Source organism: Homo sapiens, chromosome 4 (assembly GCF_000001405.40).
Source record: "Homo sapiens chromosome 4, GRCh38.p14 Primary Assembly".
Lineage (NCBI taxonomy): Eukaryota > Metazoa > Chordata > Mammalia > Primates > Hominidae > Homo > Homo sapiens.
In genome coordinates this window covers 142,370,589-142,394,198 of record NC_000004.12, presented here as the reverse complement: position 1 = coordinate 142,394,198, position 23,610 = coordinate 142,370,589, and the positions used below count along the sequence as shown (strand labels likewise).

At 35.6% G+C, this 23,610-nt stretch overlaps 1 protein-coding gene across 57 annotated transcripts in view; it reads left to right on the top strand.

Moving 5' to 3' along the window:
- Positions 1 to 23,610, top strand: part of INPP4B (inositol polyphosphate-4-phosphatase type II B) — an 823,376-nt gene that overhangs the window by 452,337 nt on the left and 347,429 nt on the right. The window contains exon 4 of one of the 57 annotated variants that reach the window (NR_169599.1): positions 10,083 to 10,237. The exons of the other annotated variants lie outside the window; for them this stretch is intronic. The gene's annotated coding sequence lies outside the window, so the exon portion shown is untranslated. The remainder of the gene's footprint in view (positions 1 to 10,082; positions 10,238 to 23,610) is intronic. 57 annotated transcript variants of the gene reach the window in all.

Below are 23,610 nucleotides of genomic sequence, written 5' to 3'. Positions count from 1 at the left end.
ACTCTACCCTGGGCGACAGAGCGAGACTCCGTCTCAAAACAAACAAACAAACAAAAAAAACCACACAAAACAGAAAAGTGAACTTTTGAACACTGTTGGTGGGAATGTAAATTGGTACAATCATTACAGAGAAAAACACTATGGCGGTTTCTCAAAAACCATATTATCTACTGCCATATGATCCAGAAATCCCACTTCTGGGTATTGTTAAAGGAAAAACTTCAGCCAAATTAAATTTAAAGGAGTTTAATTGAGCAATGAAAGATTCAGAATCAGGCAGCCCCCAGAATCGCAGCAGATTCAGAGATTCCAGTGCAGCCACGTGGTGGAAAAAGGTTTATAGACAAGAAAACGGAGGTGGCATACAGAAATCAGAAGTGAGGTACAGGAACAACTGGATTGGTTACAGATCGGCCTTTGCCTTATTTGACCACAGTTTGAACACTCAGCAGTGTATGATTGGTTGAAGTATGGCTGCTGGGATTGGCCAAGACTCAGCTATTGTTGCAGACACATACTCCTAAGTTTTCAATCTTGTGGTTGCAGTTCATCCACAAGGACGCAAATATAGGACAGAGTTCTTCTCAGGCCGTATTTAGTTTGCTTTAACAATTCCTCCTTTTTGGTCACTTTCTCAATTTTGAGAGATTGACCAAAACTTTAGTCATTAATGTCACTATTACCAGTGTAAACCCATCGGAAACAGTAGACCAGTGAGTGAGTTTTGCAAAGGTGGGAGCAAGGACTTGAATAGAGGGTACCTCCTTACGCTGAAACATCCTGTTTACAGGAGAAAAACCAAACCTGGTCTGTTCTAGGATCTACGTGTCTCCTTAAAGTCTTAGTTTGATTATGTTATATTTAGCATAAGTGACTCCATTTTGGTTTGGTTTGGTCTGTTGGGTCCTAGTGCATGAACTCAGTCCAAAACAATGGCCTCCCATAATTTTTTTTTTTAATTTCCCCTTTTTGGTCAGGTTTTCACTTAGGTGAGAGTGTGCAAAACTCAGGGCCTTGGCACCACTCTCAGTTACCATCATTTGGGGTTTTCAGCCTCGGCATGTCATTCATAAGTTAAATGTCTTCAGGGTCTTACATTTCTTTCAGCTCTTGTCATTCCAGTTGAAAAGATACCATTTGACATTTTAGAGATGGGTACATATAAACATTTAAAATATTTGAGAGAATACAGCACACCAGGGAGATTATTTTTACAACTATCAAGAGGATAATACTAAGTTTGGAGTATCCTCCTTACCCAGGGTCCGCATAAACCAAACCACCTAAAACCAAATAAAGAATGATGTAGATAAAGAGTCTGCTCGCTTAATTAAGTGGTCTTTTTGTTAATTCCCTGCAACTGAATTGCTATAATACCCAATGTTTTCTCCGTAGGTCATAATTGTCAGCAGCTGCCCAGATACTTTTCTGTTTAGCCAACTCTATTATTTAGCATAACTTTGACAGGAGAATTTAAAGTCTGTTGTGTAACTATAGCCTTTACAGTAGAATCTGCTATAGAGCCTATCGTGAGGGATACATTTCTAATCATTGCCTCTTTTACTCCAACCATGGAAAATAGACCTAACAAATGATGCCCTTCTAGAAGAGTGAAAGCCTCCTGGCAATGTTCTTTTTAACCCATGATGTGGGTTAAGAGGAGTGAACCAATGTTCTGTTTCTGACTGATTATGAGGCAACATATGTACCATTAAAGTTTCTCACCTATATTGGGCTTTCATCTTTATCAAAGTATAAGGTTATCCATGTATAAGGTTGGCTGCAAAATCCTTCACAAATAAAAGTATATGCCATAAGTGCACATAACAGACCCCCTTTTCATTTCTATTGTTCATAGAGGCATAAACAAGGAAAAAATATTCAAAGATAAGAGTCTTAAGATAGTAGAAGTCTTTATCCATGATCTTGGGAAAAACTGTTCACATCAAGGATCCCATCTTTTTCTGGGAAGAAATTTTCCTGGTTAGCTTTACCTAAAGGGGTTCCAGTGGGTATACAGTTCCAACAGTGTGCAGGGACCATTCTCAGTTGTGAGATTATAAACCAAGGTTCACAGTCCTGAAGTTTTGCTGTAGTGTGGATGTCAAAGACAGTCTTTCTCTGATATTCTCAGAAGATTTGGTCTTTGGGTTCTAGATTGTGAAGAGGTTGACTGTCCTCAGTGAACCATAAAAAGCTTTCTTTTTCTGCTGAAAATACACTGTAGCATAATAATTTACTTTTATAACATCAGCCCTCTTCCATGGGAAAGCTTTTATACAATCAGAAAACATGCGTTGAAAATGACAATTGAATAAAATCCCTTCATAAAATGTTTAAACGGCCCAACAGGCAACCAAATGTACCTGAAGCTTTGATTGTTTTCTCAGGAATATGGGTTGACAAACCAAACATTGGTTATAAACTATTTAGGAATTTATAAGTCACTATACCAATATATTCAATTTGGACTCTTTTATCTTTTCTATGATGAATCATGGCATGCAGAACTTTTAATAACAATAGCTTTAAGGACTCAAGAAAGATAAGGTGGCCATCCTCCTTCTCCAGGAGTACATGGTTTTTTTTGTTTGTTTGTTTTTGTTTGTTTTGTTTGTTTTGTTTTTTGTTTGTTTTGAGACACAGTCTCACTTCTTGGCCCAGGCTGGAGTGCAGTGGCACGATCTCGGCTTACTGCAACCTCTGCTTCCTGGGTTCAAGCGATTCTCCTGCCTCAGACTCCCAAGTAACTGGGATTACACATGCCGGCCACCACACCCGGCTATTTTTTTGTGTGTTTTTTAGTAGAGTTGGGTTTTTGCCATGTTGGCCAAGCTGGTCATGAACTCCTGACCTCAGATGATCCACCCGCCTCGGCTTCCCAGAGTGCTGGGATTAGAGGCATGAGCCACCATGCCCAGCCGAGTCCATGTTTAACACTGGACTTTGTCCTCTTGAATACCAGTTGTTTCTGCAATTTAGGTGCCTAGCACTGGTAACTGATGGGTTATTATAGGTAATTTGGCTTAGACCATGGAATTTATTCAAATTGTATATCAAAACAATTTTAGTATTGGCTGATTAAGTATGAAAATCTGGCAAAGTATTTTCTTGGTATTCAAATAAATAATTTTTGTTCTACTTGGGTTAGCAGTTTTATAAACCAGTCAGTCTGGTTTATATTCATTAAAGTTTCAGGAATTCTTACCAGTCCAAATGATATGAATTTAAAGTTACTAGAAACCTGTATTGAAGAGTGCTTTTCAGGGTCCTTTCCATTCTTTCATGAACCTCCTAAAAGACACCATATTCTAGGATTTTGCATGCTTGTGAAGTTTTCAGAAACTGCATCAGCATTATGCAATTAACTGTGGAAATGACTCTAAATAGTCGTAGTTAAAGACACAATTGACAAGGCAATTTGGTTATTTCTGTGGTCTACAATAACTTAACATAGTAACTATAATTATGATACCATATACTCAGACATATTGGAATTTTAGAAATCCCATTCAATTTTGGAAGATATTGATAACATACACTAAAATAGAACATTAAACATTATGTTTTATTTTGAGAATGCTCCCCATATATCTAAATACGTCAAATAATCCTATTTACCTCTCTTTTGAATGTTTTAGGGGCCCTCTGTAGCATCTCAAAGTTATAAGTCAGAAAAGATAATGTTGAAGCTGAAATTTGATTTTGGGAAGCCTATCAAATATGTTAAAGGTTTAAAACACTTGATACTATGAAATAGAATTCCAGGTTACCATAAGTCATTCATTTAGCCAAAATGATGACTCAAAAATTTTTGAAAAGGCCAAAACCTTTACTCATTGATAGAGGGAAGACTCCGCTTTCCAAACTCTTGCCTTTCCCTTCTTTTTCTGATAGTTTATTCAAAGGGAAACAAAAACATTTTTATTATCTTCTAATATTACATGAAAATCTTGTTCAAGAGAAAAAGCCAAATTTCACCCTTGCATTAGTCTACTATTTAATGTTATCCCCAATTTTTAATAAAACCTTATAGATAAAATGTATCTATCTTAATCAGTTTGACCGTATGGTGAGATTCTCATAAACATTTTATAATTCTTTATAATTCCTGTGAAAGAGCAGATCAGTGCTCTAAGAAAGGTCTGTTTTGTTTTTATTCCAATGTTCAATTTACAGAAAAACTTAATACCCCTTTAACTTTAGCCAGTGTCCACACAGGATTTCTTTTTACAAGATTAATTTTTACAAACCTTTCACAACTTGTTCAAACTTTTAGTGTTATCTTTTCTAATTTAAAACAATCCTTTCATCCTCTAGGCAAAAATTTACATCCCTATGCCTTTTTATAATCTTTTACCAAAAACACATTTCACTCTCCTCAGACATCTTGCATGTAAAACTATGTTTTCAGTAGTCTCAATTACATGTTATCATGGTAACTCTTAGCAAATTTTAATCTTGGTAAAAAATCTCATAAGTTATTTTAATTATGTACTAGGTGCAGGTGAGGTCTGACTCTTTCCAGTATAGTTTGGGATGTGGCTCTCCACATGTCCCCATGCCTTATCTAGACTCTAAGGCTCCAAAGTAAGTAAATTGAATAATCTTCAAAAGCCAAACATGCAGTTTATGATCTTAAAGCATTCAACAAACCTAATATCTGATCTGCTTAATTTAGACCAAATGGCTTTATTTTTACTAACAATCTTAAAAACTTATTTCCCAAAGATTAAAAGTCACGTAAACTAAAAGGCATTACAGTTTTTATTTTTCTTTCAAAATATTTGATCTAAGTGCTTATTTTTCTTTAAGCCAATTAATTAGAGCTCTTTTACGGAAACATTATACACATGACACATATATAACTACACTGAAAGAAGAAGATCCAGTAGTTGTAAGATTTTTCATTTACCAGTTTCTAAGTTTCTTTTTTTTTTTTTTTTTCTGAGATGGAGTCTTGCTCTGTCACACAGGCTGGAGTGCAGTGGGGCAATCTTGTCTTACTGCAATCTCCACCTCCCAGCTTCAAGCAATTCTCCTGCCTCAGACTCCCAAGTAGATGGGATTATAGGCACCTGCCACTGTGCCCAGCTAATTTTTGTGTTTATAGTAGAGACAGGGTTTCACCATGTTGACCAGGCTGGTCTCGAAATCCTGACCTTGTGTCCACCTGCATTAGCCTCCCAAAGTCCTGGGATAACAGGTGAGAGCTACCTCACTGGGCCTCTAAGTTTCTTAATTGGATACTGGCTTTAGGGTGGAGTCCTTGGAAACACAGGCTTAGGAAAATATGCAGTTTCTACAGCCTAATATAAGGCACAGCTGAAAGGCAAAATAGATCTGCAAAATTGAGGGCCTCATTTTTACATTGTATCCTGGATCCCCAAAAGGAGAAGATAGTGCAATTCTTTTACTGTGCATTTTATTGCATGGCAGCCCAAAGCCAATCAGCCTATTTTTTAATTAGCCCATCCCTAAAAGTATATTTTCTACCTATTTATTGTACACTAAATTAAAGCTCTCTCAAAATGCAAAGCAATCTCTAATACCTTCCCAAGTCAAAAACATCAGATAACTCAATACAAAACAGAACAGAGCCTTAGACTCTGAGTGGGATCTATTCATTTTCAATTCCTAGGGTTCCATGAGGAAAACAGGTTTTTCCCAAAATGGGTTCTGTGGCTCCTCCTCTGTTTTTTCTAAGGAGACCCGGGCTACTAGAAGTTATCTTAGGGCCTCTCATGTGTGCATTAAGAGTGGCAAGACAAATAGAGAAAAATAATTTAGTCAACTGAGAAGGAAAAAAAAAAACCCTTTTTCCAGAAAAATAAGATCTAAGAAGAGAAGAACATAGGCCTTTTAAATATACCTATCACTTGGATAGCCACTTCTAATTAAGCTGACTTTTAACCATAGCACTCCTTTAAAAATGCTCTTAAATTTATTGCCTGGCTTTAGCCATGCCGAGTGGCCAATATTCCTGGATTTTAAACTCACAGGTGAAACCTGCAAGCCTCAACTAAGGTTATAACTTAACCACAAGTATACAAGATATCTTCAAAGTGGTGGTAAGCAGTTTTTATAAAATCTAGAATCTTTAGAGGTAGCTCAGAGGAAGGAAGATTTAAGAAGAGAACTTGGAAGTTGTTTGTGGAAGGGGAAGAGAATCAGCAAATAATAAAGGTCGCACAGACATTAACCAGATAGTTTTCATTCCCTAAGCCAGGATTGAACCTGGGCTGCTGTGGTAAGAGCACAGACCAAGAGAAAGTACTGCCACGTGGTTACAATGTCATGCTCCCAAGGACATGACTGACCAGTTTGCTGGGCCATCTTGAACAGCGGGCTTATGGGGACCTAGGCTCACATTCTATCCTAAGGTACCCCTCTGTATGATAGAACAATACAGAAAGACACACAAAGCACACCAGATTCACTACAGCTCAACATTAGCCTCATGAATCCTTTTTCCCATTAATCAAAACTTAACAGAGGATATAAACCATGATTTTTACCATTCATCCAACCGATTTGCACAGAGAGAGGCTAGAAGTGTGACTGATAAGAACTTTTACCCTTTTGTTGGCATATCAGGTATCTGGGTTCCCTTCCCTGAGTGGCCCTAGTGACCTAACCCTGCTTGCCACACTATATAACCTTGGAGGCCAAACGCAACACAAAAGAAAATCTTTTTTTCTTTCTTTTTTTTTTTTTTTAAATGCACTTCAGTGCATTGTTGTTCATTTGGAATGTTCCACTGTAAGTTATCTTTAGCAAGATTTTACCCTTTCTGTAAGACTTTGCTGCCTCCTGGGCCTAATGTATACGCCAGAAAGAAATGAGATTTTTAGAAATTAAGGACCCCATTTTTATCTAAAATATTAGCTTTTTCTCAGGTTCCCTTGATGACTTAGCCAATGACATTTCCTACCTAAGCATGCAAGAAAAATGAAACAAAGGGGTAGAGCACAAAAATCCCCACGAATTTTTAATGGACAAATTTTTACAACCACTGCAATATTACCATTTACTACCAGTTTCTTTCTGACCCAGTGGGATGTAAGAGGCCTCTAACTGGATCTAAGCCAGTTAATTACCGGATCAAATCACATCCTGGACCCAGTCCACTTTCTGTCACAACTGTCAAACCCAGTTTGGAACAAAAATTTGCTCAAAGAAACTCAGAGAGCTCAAAACACAAACCCGTAGAGCTCTGAAATCCGAGAGAGAACTTACCCACGATCCCCAGCTGCTCTGAGAGATCAATGGATACAAGTGGGTCCAGAAGGTATCTTGCTTGTTCACTCAGTGCTCCTGGGGGTCGTTAGAAGGTCTACTTCGGACCTCACTTCTGACACAATCTATTAAAAGAAAAACTTAAGCCGAATTAAATTTAAAGGAGTTTAATTGAGCAAGGAATGATTTACGATTCGGGCAGCACCCAGAATCACAGTAGATTTAGAGAGATGCCAGTGGAGCCACATAGTGGAAAAAGATTTATCGACATAAAAAGGGACGTGGCATACAGATATCAGAAGTGAGGTACGGAAACAGCTGTATTAGTTACAGCTCGGCATTTGCCTTATTTGAACGTGGTTTGAACACTCAGCAGTGTTCAAGTGGTTGAAGTATTGCTGCTGGGATTGGCCAAGACTCAGCTGTTGTTACAGGTGCATACTCCTAAGTTAGGTTTTCAGTCTTGTCTACCTATTAAGTTAGGTTGCAGTTCATCCATAAGGACTCAAATATAGAAGCATGGAGTCCTTTTCAGGCCCTATTTAGTTTTCTTTAATAATATATGTACAAAGAAATTGAAATCAGTATATTGAAGAAGTATCTGTACTCCCATGCTCATTGTAGCATTATCACAATAGATTATTCACAATAGCTAAGATATGGTAGCAACCTAAGAGTTCATCAATGGATGAATGAATAAAGTAAATGTGGTATATGTACACAATGGAATACTATTCATCTCTAAAAAATAAAATTCTGTCATCTGTGACAACAAGGATGAACCTGGAAGACATTATGTTAAATAAGGCAGGCACAGAAAGACACATCTGCATGGTCTCACTTACACGCAGAATTTTAAAAAGTTGAACTCATAGAAATAGAGAAGAAGATAGTGTTTTTCAGACACTGGAGGAAGAAAGTGCAGAGAAGGGGAGATGCTGATCAAAGAGATAAGCTTTAGTGATCTGTTGCACAGAATGGTGACTATAATTAGTAATAATGTATGGTATATTTCAAAATTGCTAAAAGAGAAGATTTTAAATATTCTCACCACAAAAAAGTAACAACTATGTGAGAAGATTATTTAATTATCATGATTTAATTATTCCACAATGTGAACATATATCAAAACATCACATAGTATATAGTTGTCAATTAACAGTAAAATTTTAAAATAACATAATTTATTTTCAAAAGTCAATAAATAAAAAAATACACAAGTAAAATCCCTTGGCTGTGGGAGAATGGATGCTTGACTGAGAGGTATTTCATTGTTATTTTATGAAGGCAAACAGAATTGTAATTTTAGTACTTTCACACTTACATGTCTACAAATGTGTAAATTACAGAAAAATTGCTTAATGTAGCTTAAAATGACAATATCCAGGATTAGTTTTCTCTTTTCCAATTAAATATAATCGTTCGGTAAGACCATTTCCTATTCTGTATTCAGAGGTGAACAAGTTGTTATAACTAATCACTAGGTACAGAAGCATACTCTACCCTGTTTTTCTGTAATGGAATGCTGGCCTAAGTTCATACTGAGCTCTACCTCCACTGAACATTCAAGAGTGGTTTTTTTTTTTTAAGGTTCAGTATCACTGATCATTAGAGAATACAAATCAAAATCACGATGAGATACCATCTCACACCAGTCAGAATGGCTATAATTGAAAAGTCAAAAACAACAGATGCTGGCAATGTTGCAGAGAAAAAAGAACGCTTATACACTGTTAGTGGGAGTGTAAATTAGTTCAACCGCTGTGGAGGACAGTGTAGTGATTCCTCAAGATCTAAAGACAGAAATACCATTTGAGCCAACAATCCTGTTACTGTGTATTTACCCAAAGAAATATAAATTGTTCTATCATAAGGATGCATGCATGCATGTGTTCATTGCAGCACTATTCACAATAGCAAAGACATGGAATCAACCTAAATGCCCATCAACCATAGACTGGATAAAGAAAATGAGGTACATATGCATCATGGAATATTATGCAGCCATGCAGCCATAAAAAAGAATGAGATCATGTCCTTTGCAGGAACTCGTATGTAGTTGGAGGCCATGATCCTTAGTAAACTAACACAGGAACAGAAAACCAAATACCACATGGTTGAGGGTGGGAGGAGGGAGAGGATCAGAAAAAATAACTATTGGGTACTAGGCTTAATACCTGGGTGACAAAGTAATCTGCACAACAAACCCCCATGACACGAGTTTAACTAAAACCTGCACATGTATCCCCTGAACTTAAAAGTTAAATAAAATAAAAATAAATTAAAGGGCATTATAATCAAGAGATATACAGTCATGCGCTGCATAATGATGTTTTGATCAATGATGGACTGCATATGCAATGGTGATTCCATAAGATCAATGGTGATCCTATAAGACTCTAGTACTGTAAGTGTACTGTATCTTTTCTGTGTTTAGATATGTTTAGATATACAAATACTTACCATTGTGTTACAATTGCCTGCAGTATTCAGTACAGTCACATGCTGTACAGGTTTGCAGCCAAGGGGCAATAGGTTATTTCATAAAGCCTAAGTATGTAGTAGGCAATACTATCTAGGTTTGTGTAGGTACACTCTACAAAGTTCACACAATGACAAAATCTCCTAATGACGCATTTCTCAGAGTCTATCCCCATCATTATGCAATGCATGACTGTAATTCATTGGAATGTAATTTAGTGAAGTTGTTACTAACTAATTGAGTTAATACCTGTTTTTTCTAAGGTATTTCTTTTGTCTTAACCCACATGTACTGGAATTCTTGAACATTTTTAGAAGCTATGTCAGATTGGAAACTTACTGATCACACTTTTCTTCCCAAGATAGCTAACTCATCCAGAATTTGAGTATAAGTGGATCTTGAGGTCCTCAGAGCTGAGACAACTTGAGACAACTTGCTCAGTCACCTGTTCAAATGTCTGCAGGATGGTTGGCCAAGTGCAAGACATCACATGAGCTTCTTGACAGCTGCACGATGGTAACTTAATGAGACACAACAGTTTTCTTGTGAAATAGCTGGACATGCAGAGAGGTCACATGAATAATAAGCTCACACCTGTGTTCCCGCCACCCGGATATTATTCAAAGCACAAAACATCATAAATAAAGTCAAGGTCCTCTATATCCCCCTTCTCAATCTCCTCTCCTTTCCCTCCTGCCTGTGCAACCACTGTTGTGAATATTAATGATTATCCTTGAAGCTTATATTTCTGAACTATTACTACACATGTCCAAAAACAATAGATTTTTTTTTCTGGTAAAAATATGACTTTTTTTTCTCTTATCAGTGTTTGAATAGTGAGCAGTTTCATTTTTAAGCATCATGGGATACTATTGAGAGGAGTGGTTGAGTTAAGTTGCAAGGCAGATCTACTTTGAGCCTATTGTGTCCACAGATTGGAATTTTGACATGTCCACATAACTCTGTTTTGATGGGTGTCTGCTCAGAAGATGTTAGGAAGCTCATGATAAGGAAGTAGAAATTTAGGCAGTTAGGTTTGACCCACAACCTCATAGCCTAGGTGGTAAGCAGTTATTCTTTCAAGCACCTTTTATGGGTATTGTAATAGAAATATTTGAAACACTGGTACATAAGCAGTATGACTGTGACTATATTGGGAAAAAAAGAAAGCTTCCAAAGTATATTTTATGAGGACTAGGTAGGTTTAATACTAAAACCTGATGAATGTTTTTTTAACAGCTATAAGTAAATTTCAATTAAAAGCATAGGTGCAAAGATTATAAATGTAACAGTGTTCAGTAGGATTAATCTATGAAAAAAATTATACTCGGACCAAGTAATGTTTAATTCAGGAAAGCAAAAGTGGCTTAATATCAGTACATCTATCAACACAATCCATTTTGTTAATAACTAAAGGAGAAAACTCATTGCTAAGAGGCATTTAATAAATCTCATGGCCACACTTACTAGAAAAAGAGAAATATAAGACTATAGTAAAAATAAGTCCTTAAAAGGTAATATAAATATTCTAAACAATTAAATGCTTAAATTATTTCTGCTAGACACTAAGTTAACCACTATCATCATTATTATTCAATATTTTCTCGGACTCTGTAGGAAAGACGATGAGAAAATTATTTAAAATTTGGGAGGAGTACACAAAATTATTTCTGTTACTATGATTGAAATATCTAGACAGCCCAAGACACCTTGGTAAATAAAGACCTAATGTGTTCATTTAATAAGTTTGTTGGTTACAGGTAAATGTATTTGTAAATCAATGACCTAATTTTTTATATATAAATATAAATATATATATAAATATATATAATATATAAATGTATATATTTATAGTATATATATAATATATAAATATATATATTTATAGTATATATATAATATATAATATATAAACATAAATGTAAATATATATATATATGTATATGTGTATGTATGTTTTTTGTTTTTTTTGAAACGGAGTCTCACTGTCATCCAGGCTGGAGTGCAATGGCACCACCTCAGCTCACTGCAACATCCACCTCCTCGGTTCAAGTGATTCTCCTGCCTCAGCCTCCTGAGTAGCTGGGACTACAGGCACCTGCCACCATGCCCAGCTAGTTGTTGTATTTTCAGTAGAGATAGGATTTCACCATGTTGGCCAGGCTGTTCATGAACTCCTGATCTCAGGTGATCCACCCGCCTTGGCCTCCCAAAGTATTGGGATTACAGGCGTAAACCACTGCGCCAAGCTGAAAAATATAAAATATTATTGAACAATATACAATAAGATCTTTACAGATGGGAATACATTTCTGTTGAAAGAAAAGTACAAATAGAAACTGTCCCAAATTCAATGCATAAATTTAACATAATTTTAAATAAAATCTCAAAAGTATTTTTTATGGAGAGGAATGTTGGGAATTAGATACGTTTTTTTCTTTAAAATTATGGGTAAATATCAATATCCAAGAATAGCCAAGGAATTTTAAAAATAATAGTAAGACTTACCTGATCAGGCATTGAAACATAACATAAAACTACAATCAAATTTGCATAGTTTTTTTAATTGTAATAGACAAAAAGAAGAGTGAGGAAAAATATTGAATCCTGAAGCAGACTGCAAGATTCATGATAATTAACTATGATTTTGATGGTTTTAGTTAATAGGTAAAGAACGGGTTATTTAAGAAAAAAAGTGCAGGTAAAATGACTATCCTTCTAGAAGAAAATAATATTACAGTTTATTATATTCTATGTGTAAAAATGAACTTCATTTGGATTATTTAAGTGTAGAAAATTAAACTACACTACAACTTCTGCAAGTTAATCTGAAAGACTATTTGTACAATCTAGAGGCAAGGAGTAGGGAAAGTTTTCTTAAGAAGTCCAGAAAAGACATATATGGTAATTTATGACTGTATCGTAATCTAAACATTTTATATGTATGGCATAAATAAGATGAAAATTAGATATGAAAAATTATTTGCAATTCAGAGGCTAGTGGGTTAATCTCTATAATATATAGAGAGTTCGGATTTCAGAAAGGTCAAAAATGGAGCAAAGGATTTGAGGAAGCTCTCTTCAGTAAAACAAATCCAAATCAGTAAAATAAAAACAAGAAACATGAAAAAATGCTTTGTCTTTTATTAGAAACACAAAATTAAAATAGCAATGTGATTATCAATATTCACTTATAAGACTGGCAAGAATTTTAAAAACCATTGCTGGCAGGATGTGAGAAAAAGCGTACTCTCATACATTGCTGATTGAATGTAAATTTTTGCATCCTTTAAAAAAATCTGCCAGCAATTATTCAAATGAAAATAAGTGTACATTTTGATCCAGCAATGTTACTCTTAATTTTGAACCTCATAGAAACAAAACACCAGGACTTAAAGATATATGGAAAATCGTGGTTGAGTATTGCTTATAATGGTGAAAAATTAGAAAGAATGAAGGCTTATCAGTAGGGGAATGTGTGAATAAATTCTGATGCATCCACATGAGGTGATATAATGAAGCCTTACAAAAAAGAAGGATGTAATAAATTGGAGCTCTAAAAGCAGACTTCGAAGAACCACAAAATATTGCATGATTGGGAAAAGCAGGATGTTTCAGAAATAGTATTTAACATAATTCCACTTTAAAAAAACTAATAATGAAAAATGTATTTAGGTATGTTTATTTTTGTTTACATTTACATGATATATATTATATGTGACTATTATGAGTATGCAGAAAAATATGGGAGGATACATACAGTAGATGAAATAAGGAGAAGTAGATGAGGAGGTGAGGGAAAAATAAAGAAAATATGAAATAATAGCATAATAAAACACTTATGTTAATAGCCTTTCTGAAAGATTTTATTATTTCTAATAAAATAAATATCATTTAAAAAGAAGAGTGCCATTCCCATTACTTCTACACAAAATACATTGTCCTGAGAGAAGTGTCTCTTTTGCATCTTGAAGATTCAATACATCAGGATTGCCACAGTTTCCTATGGGAGGGACCGTTTTGAGCAAGTGATAGCCTGGAGAAATACTGATGGGTGTGAGACAGGGCTGTCAGTGCCTAGGGATAAGTGAGGGGCCTGCTCAACGTCTGTAGAGAATGAAGCAGCAGCTGAAAATATTACCAAGGTGGGTCGGAGCAGAAGAGGAAGAAAGTGACAGCCATTTGCAATACTTGATGAAGCCCCAGGGAACTCCTTGAAATAACTAGGGGAAACTTTAAAGGGAATGCGAAGATCTGCAACAGCATGTAGGAGCATGATCCTTTGCTATGTTTTAGTCAGTAAACAGGATAAGTAATTCATGTTTCACAGTGGATCTAGGAGCACTTATCTTTCTCCTGCTAACGCCAGTCAAGTGATCTGATAACTGACCACTGGGATTTGTGAGTGAAACTGGGACCCTGAACTTAGAGTTTATTTCTGCCTCAAGTTATTTCCCTGGACTCTGAGATATTTACTTCATTCTTACGACTTTCAAGTACTCTGCAGTTGTCACCATTTGCCTAGTGGCTTAGGCCTCCAGCACCTGGCTGGCCAGCTCTACCTGGTCTTGCCTACACAGTAGCATTCCTGGCACAGCTGTGAGTACAGGTGGATGCATATGAACCCTCAATCTGATGGTTGTGATCCCTTACACAGTGCCTGACGTGGACACTGAGGACACATGTCTTGCATGGCTTCCCATTACTGCTTGGCTTTGCCAAGCTGATATGTGATATATTGCCAAAATATTTCTTCTGACTAGAAAAGAGCAGAAACTAGTTATTTATAAGTAATATAAAATGTTAGTCTGCTTTGGCTAGGAATAGCTTTTAATTACTGTAAGGTTTTATAGGCTGCACAGCAGGAACAAAAGGACGTTTTAAAGAAACACAGGCTTTCCTTGGAGTCATGTGAATGGAATGATAATTGCAACTAGGTTGGGGTTGGTATTTAAACTCATGTGAAAATTATTTTTAAGCTTACTGAAAAAAGTTATGTGTACCAAGGCAGAAGGTGATGTCACATGCTGAAAAATGTTAGGGGACATCTGTTTCCACATCACAAAGAATTTCTTCTTATATTGCCATGAGCCTGATTCCTTCAGTTTCGTGGCATTAAGTAAAGCTCTCTTTGAAGATGTGCTCATTGAGAATGGAGCTAAATGCTGAGGTTGCAGCTGCTCACTATACCATGTCCTAAGGAATTCATAGTGTGAATTCACAAGGATATTGGTCTTTCTTACAAACTTGGGTAATGATGATAGAGACAGCAGCTTTTGGAAAGCCCTAGATAGAGTTGTATAGGAAGATATGGGGCCTATAGTGATATTTAAATTTTATGTAATGTACTGATTTTTAAAAAATTGCCATTTTGGGTTTTTTGAAAAGGGCACTGATAGTTATATCGGCATTTTGGAATATGAGGAAGCAGCTTCCTAAGAAAATATTAATTGGATAGGATTTAAGAATAACAAGAGCTAACTCACCACAACCCGCACCCCCTACCCCACTCAGGGAGTTTGAAACATATGTTAGCAACTACTACATTTGCTTTTCATTTTTGAATTTAAGTTGAGGCATAGTGAAATGTGCATAGCTGCTTGTTGTGGCTTCATAGCAACAAGGGTAGTGGGACCTCATGTTGGAAACTCTGGACATGTGGTTGTGTATTCACACATACACAGTGTTTTAATTATAAGCATGTGCATTGAGTGATATTCACAAAATTGTATGTATATGTACATTAAGTAAGGCTTTAAACTTTAAATCCTAGGCTCAAGTTCATTTGTAGCTGAGAAAAGCCAAAATAGTCCTAGGGCAATGTTAATATTCAGAGACATATTCTCCTCTCTAAGGAGAGAATCTTTTCAATTAATGTAGGCTTAAAGACAGGAACATGTCTTTCAGATTCTGTTTTATTGCCTTCCCATTCTGCCTTCCCTAGCATACATGTGGAATAAATAGTTGCTTGCCCTTGGCATTAGTTTGACTTTGAACTTGCAACCTACACAAGTGTCTGAGAAAAGATAATACCAAACTGGATATGAGCTATTACAATAGACTGTAAGAGGCACTTGAAAACCCCACCAATGGGTGCCCGAGCAAGGTTTTTAAACACTGTTATGGGAAAATCAGGCTCACATAGTGTTGGAAACAGCTGTACCTAGGGGTCAAGGCTACAACTCTGTTTGCTCACAGATTCCTTCTCAATCATGATGGCACACTGAAAGAACATAAAATTTAGAGCCAAAAGTTCTAGTCTCAGATCGGCTGCTTACTATGTGACTTTGGACAAGTTATCTTTTTTGAGTCCCAGTTTCTCCAGCTCTAAAATGGAGACTTCAGCACCTGCTCTGTCGACTACTGGAAGGAAAATAAGACACACATGTAAAAGTACTTTGGAAACAGGAAATACAATAGTAGTGCAATTATCAGCATTATTTACTACAGATATTTTTCTTCAACTCAGGGATTCTTTCCTAGTGACACTGTGTATTTCCAAGATAAGATTTAGCAGTTTGACGGTATCTGACTCCAAAAGGTTGCTTATGGTCACAGTGTATTGATCAGGCTGGATATGTTACATATGTTTTTGTCAGGGGACTTGTGGCTGGGTGCAGAGCTTATGCTGGTGCACCAGGGTTGTTTGAATTTGAAATCTATGAAGAGTAATGAATAAGTACTTATTTTTTCTGTATTTATTTTAGTATTTAATTACTCTAATACTCTGCATTCTGATAGTCCAACATTCATTTCTTGAGTATTTTTTTGAAAAGAGAGAAACTGAAAAACATGATTACTGCATATGAATGCTCATATTTTCCATCATAATAATGTCATTTTGATACCTGATTCTCATTTCTGCCTACATTACAGATGGCAATATGCCTATGGTTGTGTCTTCTTGAGCCACACATAAGAAAGAATAAGGAGAGAAAAACCCCTCTTCTTCCAGATTCACTTTCGAAATCATACTTATTTGAGCAGCATGTTACCTTGTCCCTCTTTTTCACTCTTCTGACTCTGAGTCGTCATCCAGTTTGATATTTGAGACATCATTCAAACTGCTCCAAATGAAAGGCTTTTGTAGGATTCTTTGACCTTGGACATGGCAGAAGGTAAAAGCAGCAGATAAGGATTTTTTTTTTTTTAACTTTCCTCACAATCCTACTTTGCTTCCTTCTAAGACATTTGTCAGAAAAAAAAGATCAGCAAAATGTTTCTTCACTAGCCTGAAATTTACGAATTTCAGGAAAAATTCGTGAAATGGACCAATGTTTAACCAGGTTAGATTGTTTGGAGCCACCTAAAATTTGTTTTAAAAATTTTTTTTTTCCTGTGAGAAAAAAATAACCAGTTAGACTCTTGGAAACATTAAAGATGAAATCGAATTAAGGCTTAAGTGCCATTACTTAAACATCAAATAGGAGTATAAGTGGTGTTAATGCATGAAAAATTAAAGGAAATGGTAATGTAACATTATGGCTATACATAGCACTTGCAGCAGTGTTAACTCGATTTGTGACATTACATAAAATAGAGAACAAATAAATGATTTAAAACTTCATTAATTACAAATAATTTGTACAGAGAGCACCACATTTGATCCTCAATAGGGACCTTGTCGTATTACCATGTGGATTAGGCAACTGGAAACTGAATTTGAGTAATTTGCTCAAAATCAGATTGAAATGTGGGCCAGATTCAGAGTTTTCCACCATGAATCCACTGAACTATAGGAAGTTTCTCAGGAACAGTATTAAGGTACATAACTCCATTAATAATTTGAGTTGGGTGATGATTTCCACTTAGCTCATTGCTGATGATAACCATACTTGGAGATGTGGCTAAGAGCGGCCTTTTAAAGTTGAATTTCTTAAGGAGGGAAAGGGACTCACTTTTTGAAGTGTCCACAGGTGTCTAGAGTAACTGTGTTAGATAACGCATCAAGCTCAGAGAGTCAGTGGATCTGAAAACACATGCCAAAATGCTCTGATGACCTTTCAATTGTTCCATTTTGATAATGCTACCTTACATTGCTGTGTAATAGCTGTCATCATTACAAGAAGTCAGTATCATTTGGTGCCTGTTTTAGGTTAGCTGGGTTATATATGTGACTTCAGTGTAGAAGAACTGACATCTGAGAGGAACAAAGCCATGTTTTCAGGTCATCATGAGATCTTATCCCAGGATGCTGATAATATCAAGATGAAAATAGTCAGGTGGGAAGAAGAACTATATATCTTCATGCTATTTCCACTAATTGAAAGTTCCTAGAAATTATATTTGCTACACTAGGTTTCAGTTGTGTCACAATTTACTAATTTACTTAAATATTTCAATACTTATTCCATATAAAATGCTACCATGTATTAAGAAACTATAAAGAAATGACATATGCACAGGCCTCTTTATATCAATTTGATTTTCATTATAATAAATTTGACCTGCAGATGGATATCCATGTAGAAATATCAAAGCAATAATTTGGAAATAAGTGAATGGAATGAAGATACAGTGACAAGATTTTTATTGTCTAGAGACGTCTGTCTAATAGTAGCTTAAATAATTAGGCTTTATTTTTTCCCTCACGCAGCAAAAAGTCCAGGTGTGGGCACTTGCTGTTATTGGGTCAGATTCCTAATGATATTATCAAAGGCCCAGGATTTTTCTCTTTCCACTTTACCATGCTAATCATCTTGACCTTTAGTTCACATGCTTGTCTCTCACTGCATAGTTGCAAGATAAATGCAAAAGTTCTAAGGCCTTATGTTTGCTTTATAAGCCAGGAAGCAAAGGGGAAAGGAGTAGTACCTCTGATTTTGTCCCTTTTATTCAAGAAAGTACACCTCTCTTAGACTTTTTTCTCTAATTTCATTTGCCAAAATTGTGTCCCATGGCTACCAATAGTAGCAAGGAAAGCTGATAAAGCAAGTATCTCTACTTCCAAACTCCTTAGAGTGGGATGTGCAAAAAAGCTGGTTGGAAATGACTTTTTTATTAAGCAAACAGCCACAGGGTTTGGAATAAAGATTTGGGAGGCATCCTTACAGAAGTGATCTTTGAAAATGACTCGAGAAATAAACATTGAAGGAGAAAATGATCAAAGAACCTTGAGAAATACTGACACTGACATATGGAGAATGAAAAGATCAGCTTTCAGTTACAAGATTAAGAGTAGTAAGAAAAAAAGGGTGGGGGAGGGAAGCAAGTAGTGCAGTGTCCTGAAAAACAAATTATGGAAGAATTTTAAGACAAAGAGGAAGGTTGGTCAGTGTTGACTAGCTCCACAGAGCTGTCAAGGAAGATGAAAAAAAAATGGATTTATTGATTGGGAGGTTGCTGGCCTTTCAGAAAATAGGTGCTGAAAAGAGATTAGAATCTGAGAGATTAAGGAGTGAGTGATTAGACCGTATAAGATGGGTAGCAAAAAGAAGGAAGAGAAAAGGAGTGTGAATGAACACACAGAAAGGTTGTATTAGTTTAGGGTGTTTAAGTGAGGGTTCCAGAACGGAGAGCTGGAGATCTCTTGGTAATTGTTCCTACCTTTACTAGAAGTCACTGCTTTTATTTTTTAAGTTTAGATTATAAAATTTCTTCTACAGTATTATATACATTACAGTTCCTTCCTTGGATCAATTTACCAAATGAGAAATAATAAAATGCCTCTCTTAGACCTACCTCATTGAATAAAAAACGGAATTGATAATTATTTTTCATGACATATTTGGAGATTCTGGTTGGGAGTAAATTGTGTTATATGAAGATCACCAGTAATGTGACTTCCTTAAGAAGCATGAAGAAATTAGTGTTGTCTAGTCATTTCTTAACATTAATAACAATATCAATAAAAAGATGATTTTGATGAGCTTGACAAAACTGAAGGATCCAAAGTAAATGTAATTTAAAAACTCATGTAGAATAATGAAAGAATATATCCGAAGTTACATTCAATAGTGGCATATATGCTGTTTCCCATACCATCTCAAAAATTTGCAATATGGAAAGCTCTCTCCCACTTCTCCCCTTCTAAAAAATCTTCTCTATTCTACATCTTCCAAAATGTTTACCTATCTGGGTAAGCTTTGCTGAGAAATCTAGATGACTGAAAGAAAAGTTATAAGAAAAAAATTATAGCATACAAAATGCATCTTTGCTTAGAACAATGGCCTCTATGTGGTTAAGAATGTGAACTGTGGCTCACCTGAATCAGGGTTTATATCCAGACTTCAACACAATTAATTCTGTAATCATGGGCCAGTTACTTAAGCACTGAGAGCCTTACTTTACTTATCAATAAAATGGGGAATAATAAGCGTGTGTATTACGTAGGGTGGTTGTAAGGACAAAATGAGATAATTGTTGTCCCATTTTATCTACAAACGTGTTCAAACACACCCTAAACTAAAACAATCTTTCTGCATGTTCATTCACACTCCTTTTCTCTTCCTTTTTTTTGCCACCTGTTTTATATGGTCTAATTACTGACTCCTTAAGCTTCTGGTAGAGTGCCTGTCATACCGTGGCTGCTCAATGCACGACAGTTTATATTGCTGCTGTTCTTAATATTATTACATGATTTTTATTTATATTCCAGTACTATAATTAACTTTGGAAAAGTTGCTTTTTGTTTGTTTGCTTTAACAATAACCACAGGAAAGCTCTCAACTGGGAATATAGCCAAAGATAATATTTCCTAAATGACTCTTTATTTATATTAAAATGTTCTATATTTATATTTTAAATATGTACTTGTCTTCATCCTTACCACAGGAACAAACTCTTAGTAACACTGCTCTGTATCAGACACATTTCTCTAGGCCTTACATATTTGCTCATTTAATCTTCACAAGAGTACTAAGACATAGATACTATTAGTGTCATTCCCATTTTCTAGATGAGGAAATTGAGGCACAGAGAGGTGAAGCAGCTTTCCCAAAGTCACAAATCTATGAAGTAGAACTGGATTTGAACCAGGCCATTTAGCTTCGGAGTCTGTGCTCTTCTTAATCATCATACTCTAAGATGACTAGAAATGACATAGTAAATATTATTTATTGTTCAGATACCTATTATATTTTGCAAGGAGTGTTTTTAATTATATATTTTAAGTCTCAAAGGGAGCAATTCCAACAATTTCACGAAAACACACTTTTCTCTCAATACTTGAGATTTATAATCTTAGGTTGTCAGAACCTTAAAAGGTCAAATGTTGTTACTCTATTCATCTCAAACACTTTCTGCTTTATGAAAGGGCACCAATCTATTCAATAAAGATGCAAAAATAGAATTTATGACACATACAGGACTTGGCTCTTCAATCAGAGCTCTTTCCACTATGCTGCATAATATGGAGTTGGATTTTCAAAATAGTCATTGTTAGAGCCTGCAGCTATTTGAGACTGATTTCTATTCTGGCATAGAATATAAATGATTCAGTTTAAAACCATCTGTATTTCAAGTCCAGAAGAGAAGTGCACTACATGCCCCTGTGTGTGTATGTATGTATGTATTGTGTAGGCAGTTATAGAAGGTAGGTCATTGGTTCAAGGCCTAGATTGAAGTAAAATGTGCTTAATCATATGAATTCCTATTTGTGAGACTAGGAAGGCAGCAGGAGTCAGTGTAGTCAAGATGCTTTAGTTTGACTTCCAGTACTAGAAGACTGAGCTAATTACTCCTTCCTAGAGAGGAGACACTTCAGCTGATGATGGAAATGGAAAGGATGCCGTCAATCTTACTTTTTGCACTTGAGAATGTGTGAAACTGCTCTGTCAGAGGCACACATTTCTACCAGCTGTCAGAAGTCGTACTGGAAATGAAATAAGACCTTGGGAAGAGAGATGTGCCCATCATTGAAATGCTTCCCAACCCTCTCTGTCTTTTCCATTGTAGAACCCAATGCATATGATATTTTCTGCTTTTATTTTTACCTTCCTCTATGCATATAATGATTGTACTTATTTATGGGGTACATGTGATATTTTGATACAGGCATAGAATGTGTAATGATCAAATCAAGGTATTTACAATATTCATCACCTCAAACATTCATCATTTCTTTGTGTGGGGAGCATTTCAAATCTCTCCTAGCTACTTTGAAATAAACAGTAAATGATTGTTAACTATTGTGCTGTTGAACACTATAACTAATTCCTTCTATGTAACTGCATGTGTGTATCTATAAACCATCTCCCCTTCCCAGACTCTGGTAACCATTATTCTACTCTCTACCTCCATGAGATCTATATTTTATCACCCATATAGGAGTGAGAACACATGATATTTGTCTTTCTTGCCTGGCTTATTTCATTTAACGTAATGACCTCCAGTTCCATCCATGTTTCAGCAAATGAAAGGATTTTATTATTGTTAATAGATGAATAGTATTTTATTGTGTATATACACCACATTTTCTTTATCCATTCATCCACTAATGAACACTTACATTGGTTTCATTATTTTGGCTGTGAATAGTGCTGTGATAAACACGTGGATGCAGGTATCCCTTTGATATACTGATTTTCTTTCGTTTTGATAAATACTAACAGTAGTGGACTGCTGGTATGGTACTTCTATTTTTAGTTTTTTTTTTTTTGAGAGACTTCCATGCCGTTTTCCATAATGGCTGTACTAATTTATATTCCCACCATAGTGTATAAGAGCTCCCTTTCCTCACATATTTGCCAGCATTTGTTATTTTTTGTATTTTTGATCATATCCATTCTCACTGGGGTGAGATGATATCTCATTGTGGTTTTGATTTGCATTTCTCTAATAATTAGGGATGTTGAGCATTTTTTCATATACCTGTTTCAATTTGTCTTCTTTTGAGAAATGTCTACTCAGATCCTTTGCCCACTTTTTAATAAAATTCTTTTCTGTTTTTTGTTTGTTTTGCTATTGAGTTGTTTGAGCTCCTTATATATTCTGGATATTAGTCCCTTGTCAGATAAACAGTTTGCAAATATTTTCTTCCGTTCTACAGGTTGCCTCTTTAATCTGTTTATTATTTCCTTTGCTATGCAAAAACATTCTAGGTTAATATAGTCCCCTTTGTCTAATTTTCTTTCTGCTGCCTGTGCTTTTGAAGTGTTAGCCATAAAATCTTTTCCTAGACCAATGTCCAGAAGTGTTTCCCCTGTGTTTTCTTCTAATAGTTTCATAGTTTCGAGTCATATGATTAAGTTTGTAATCTACTTTGAGTTGATTTATGTATATGGTGAGAGATTGGGGTCTAGTTTCATTCTTCTGCATTTGGATATCTGGGTCTCCCAGCACTATTTATTGAAAAGGGTGTCCTTTCCCCTAGTGTACATTTTTGGTACCTTTGTTGAAAGTTAATTGGCTGTGAATTTGTTTCTGGGCTCTCTCTTCTGTTCCATTGGTCTATGTGTCTTTTATACCAATACCATGCTGTTTTGGTTGCTATAACTTTGTAGTATATTTTGAAGTCAGGTAGTGTGGTGCCTTCAGCTTTGTTCTCTTTGGTCAGTGTTGCATTGGCTATTTGGGGTCTTTTGTGGTTTCATATGAGTTTTAGGTTTTATCTTTTTCTACTTCTATGAGGAATGTCTTGGTATTTTGATAGGGGTTGCATTTAATCTGTAGATTGCTTTGGGTAATATGATTATTTTAACAATATTGTTCTGATCCATGAGCATGGGTTGTTTTTCCATTTGTTTGTGTCCTCTTCCTTGTTTTTCTTTGATGTTTTGCAATTTTCATCATGAAGGCTTTTCACTACCTTGGTTAAATTTATTCCTAGGTGTTTTTTTGTTGTAGCTATTGTAAATGGGATTGCTTTCTTGATTTCTTTTTCAGTTAGTTATTTTGTATAGAAATATTACTGATTTTTGTGTATTTTGTATCCTGTAAATTTGCTGAAT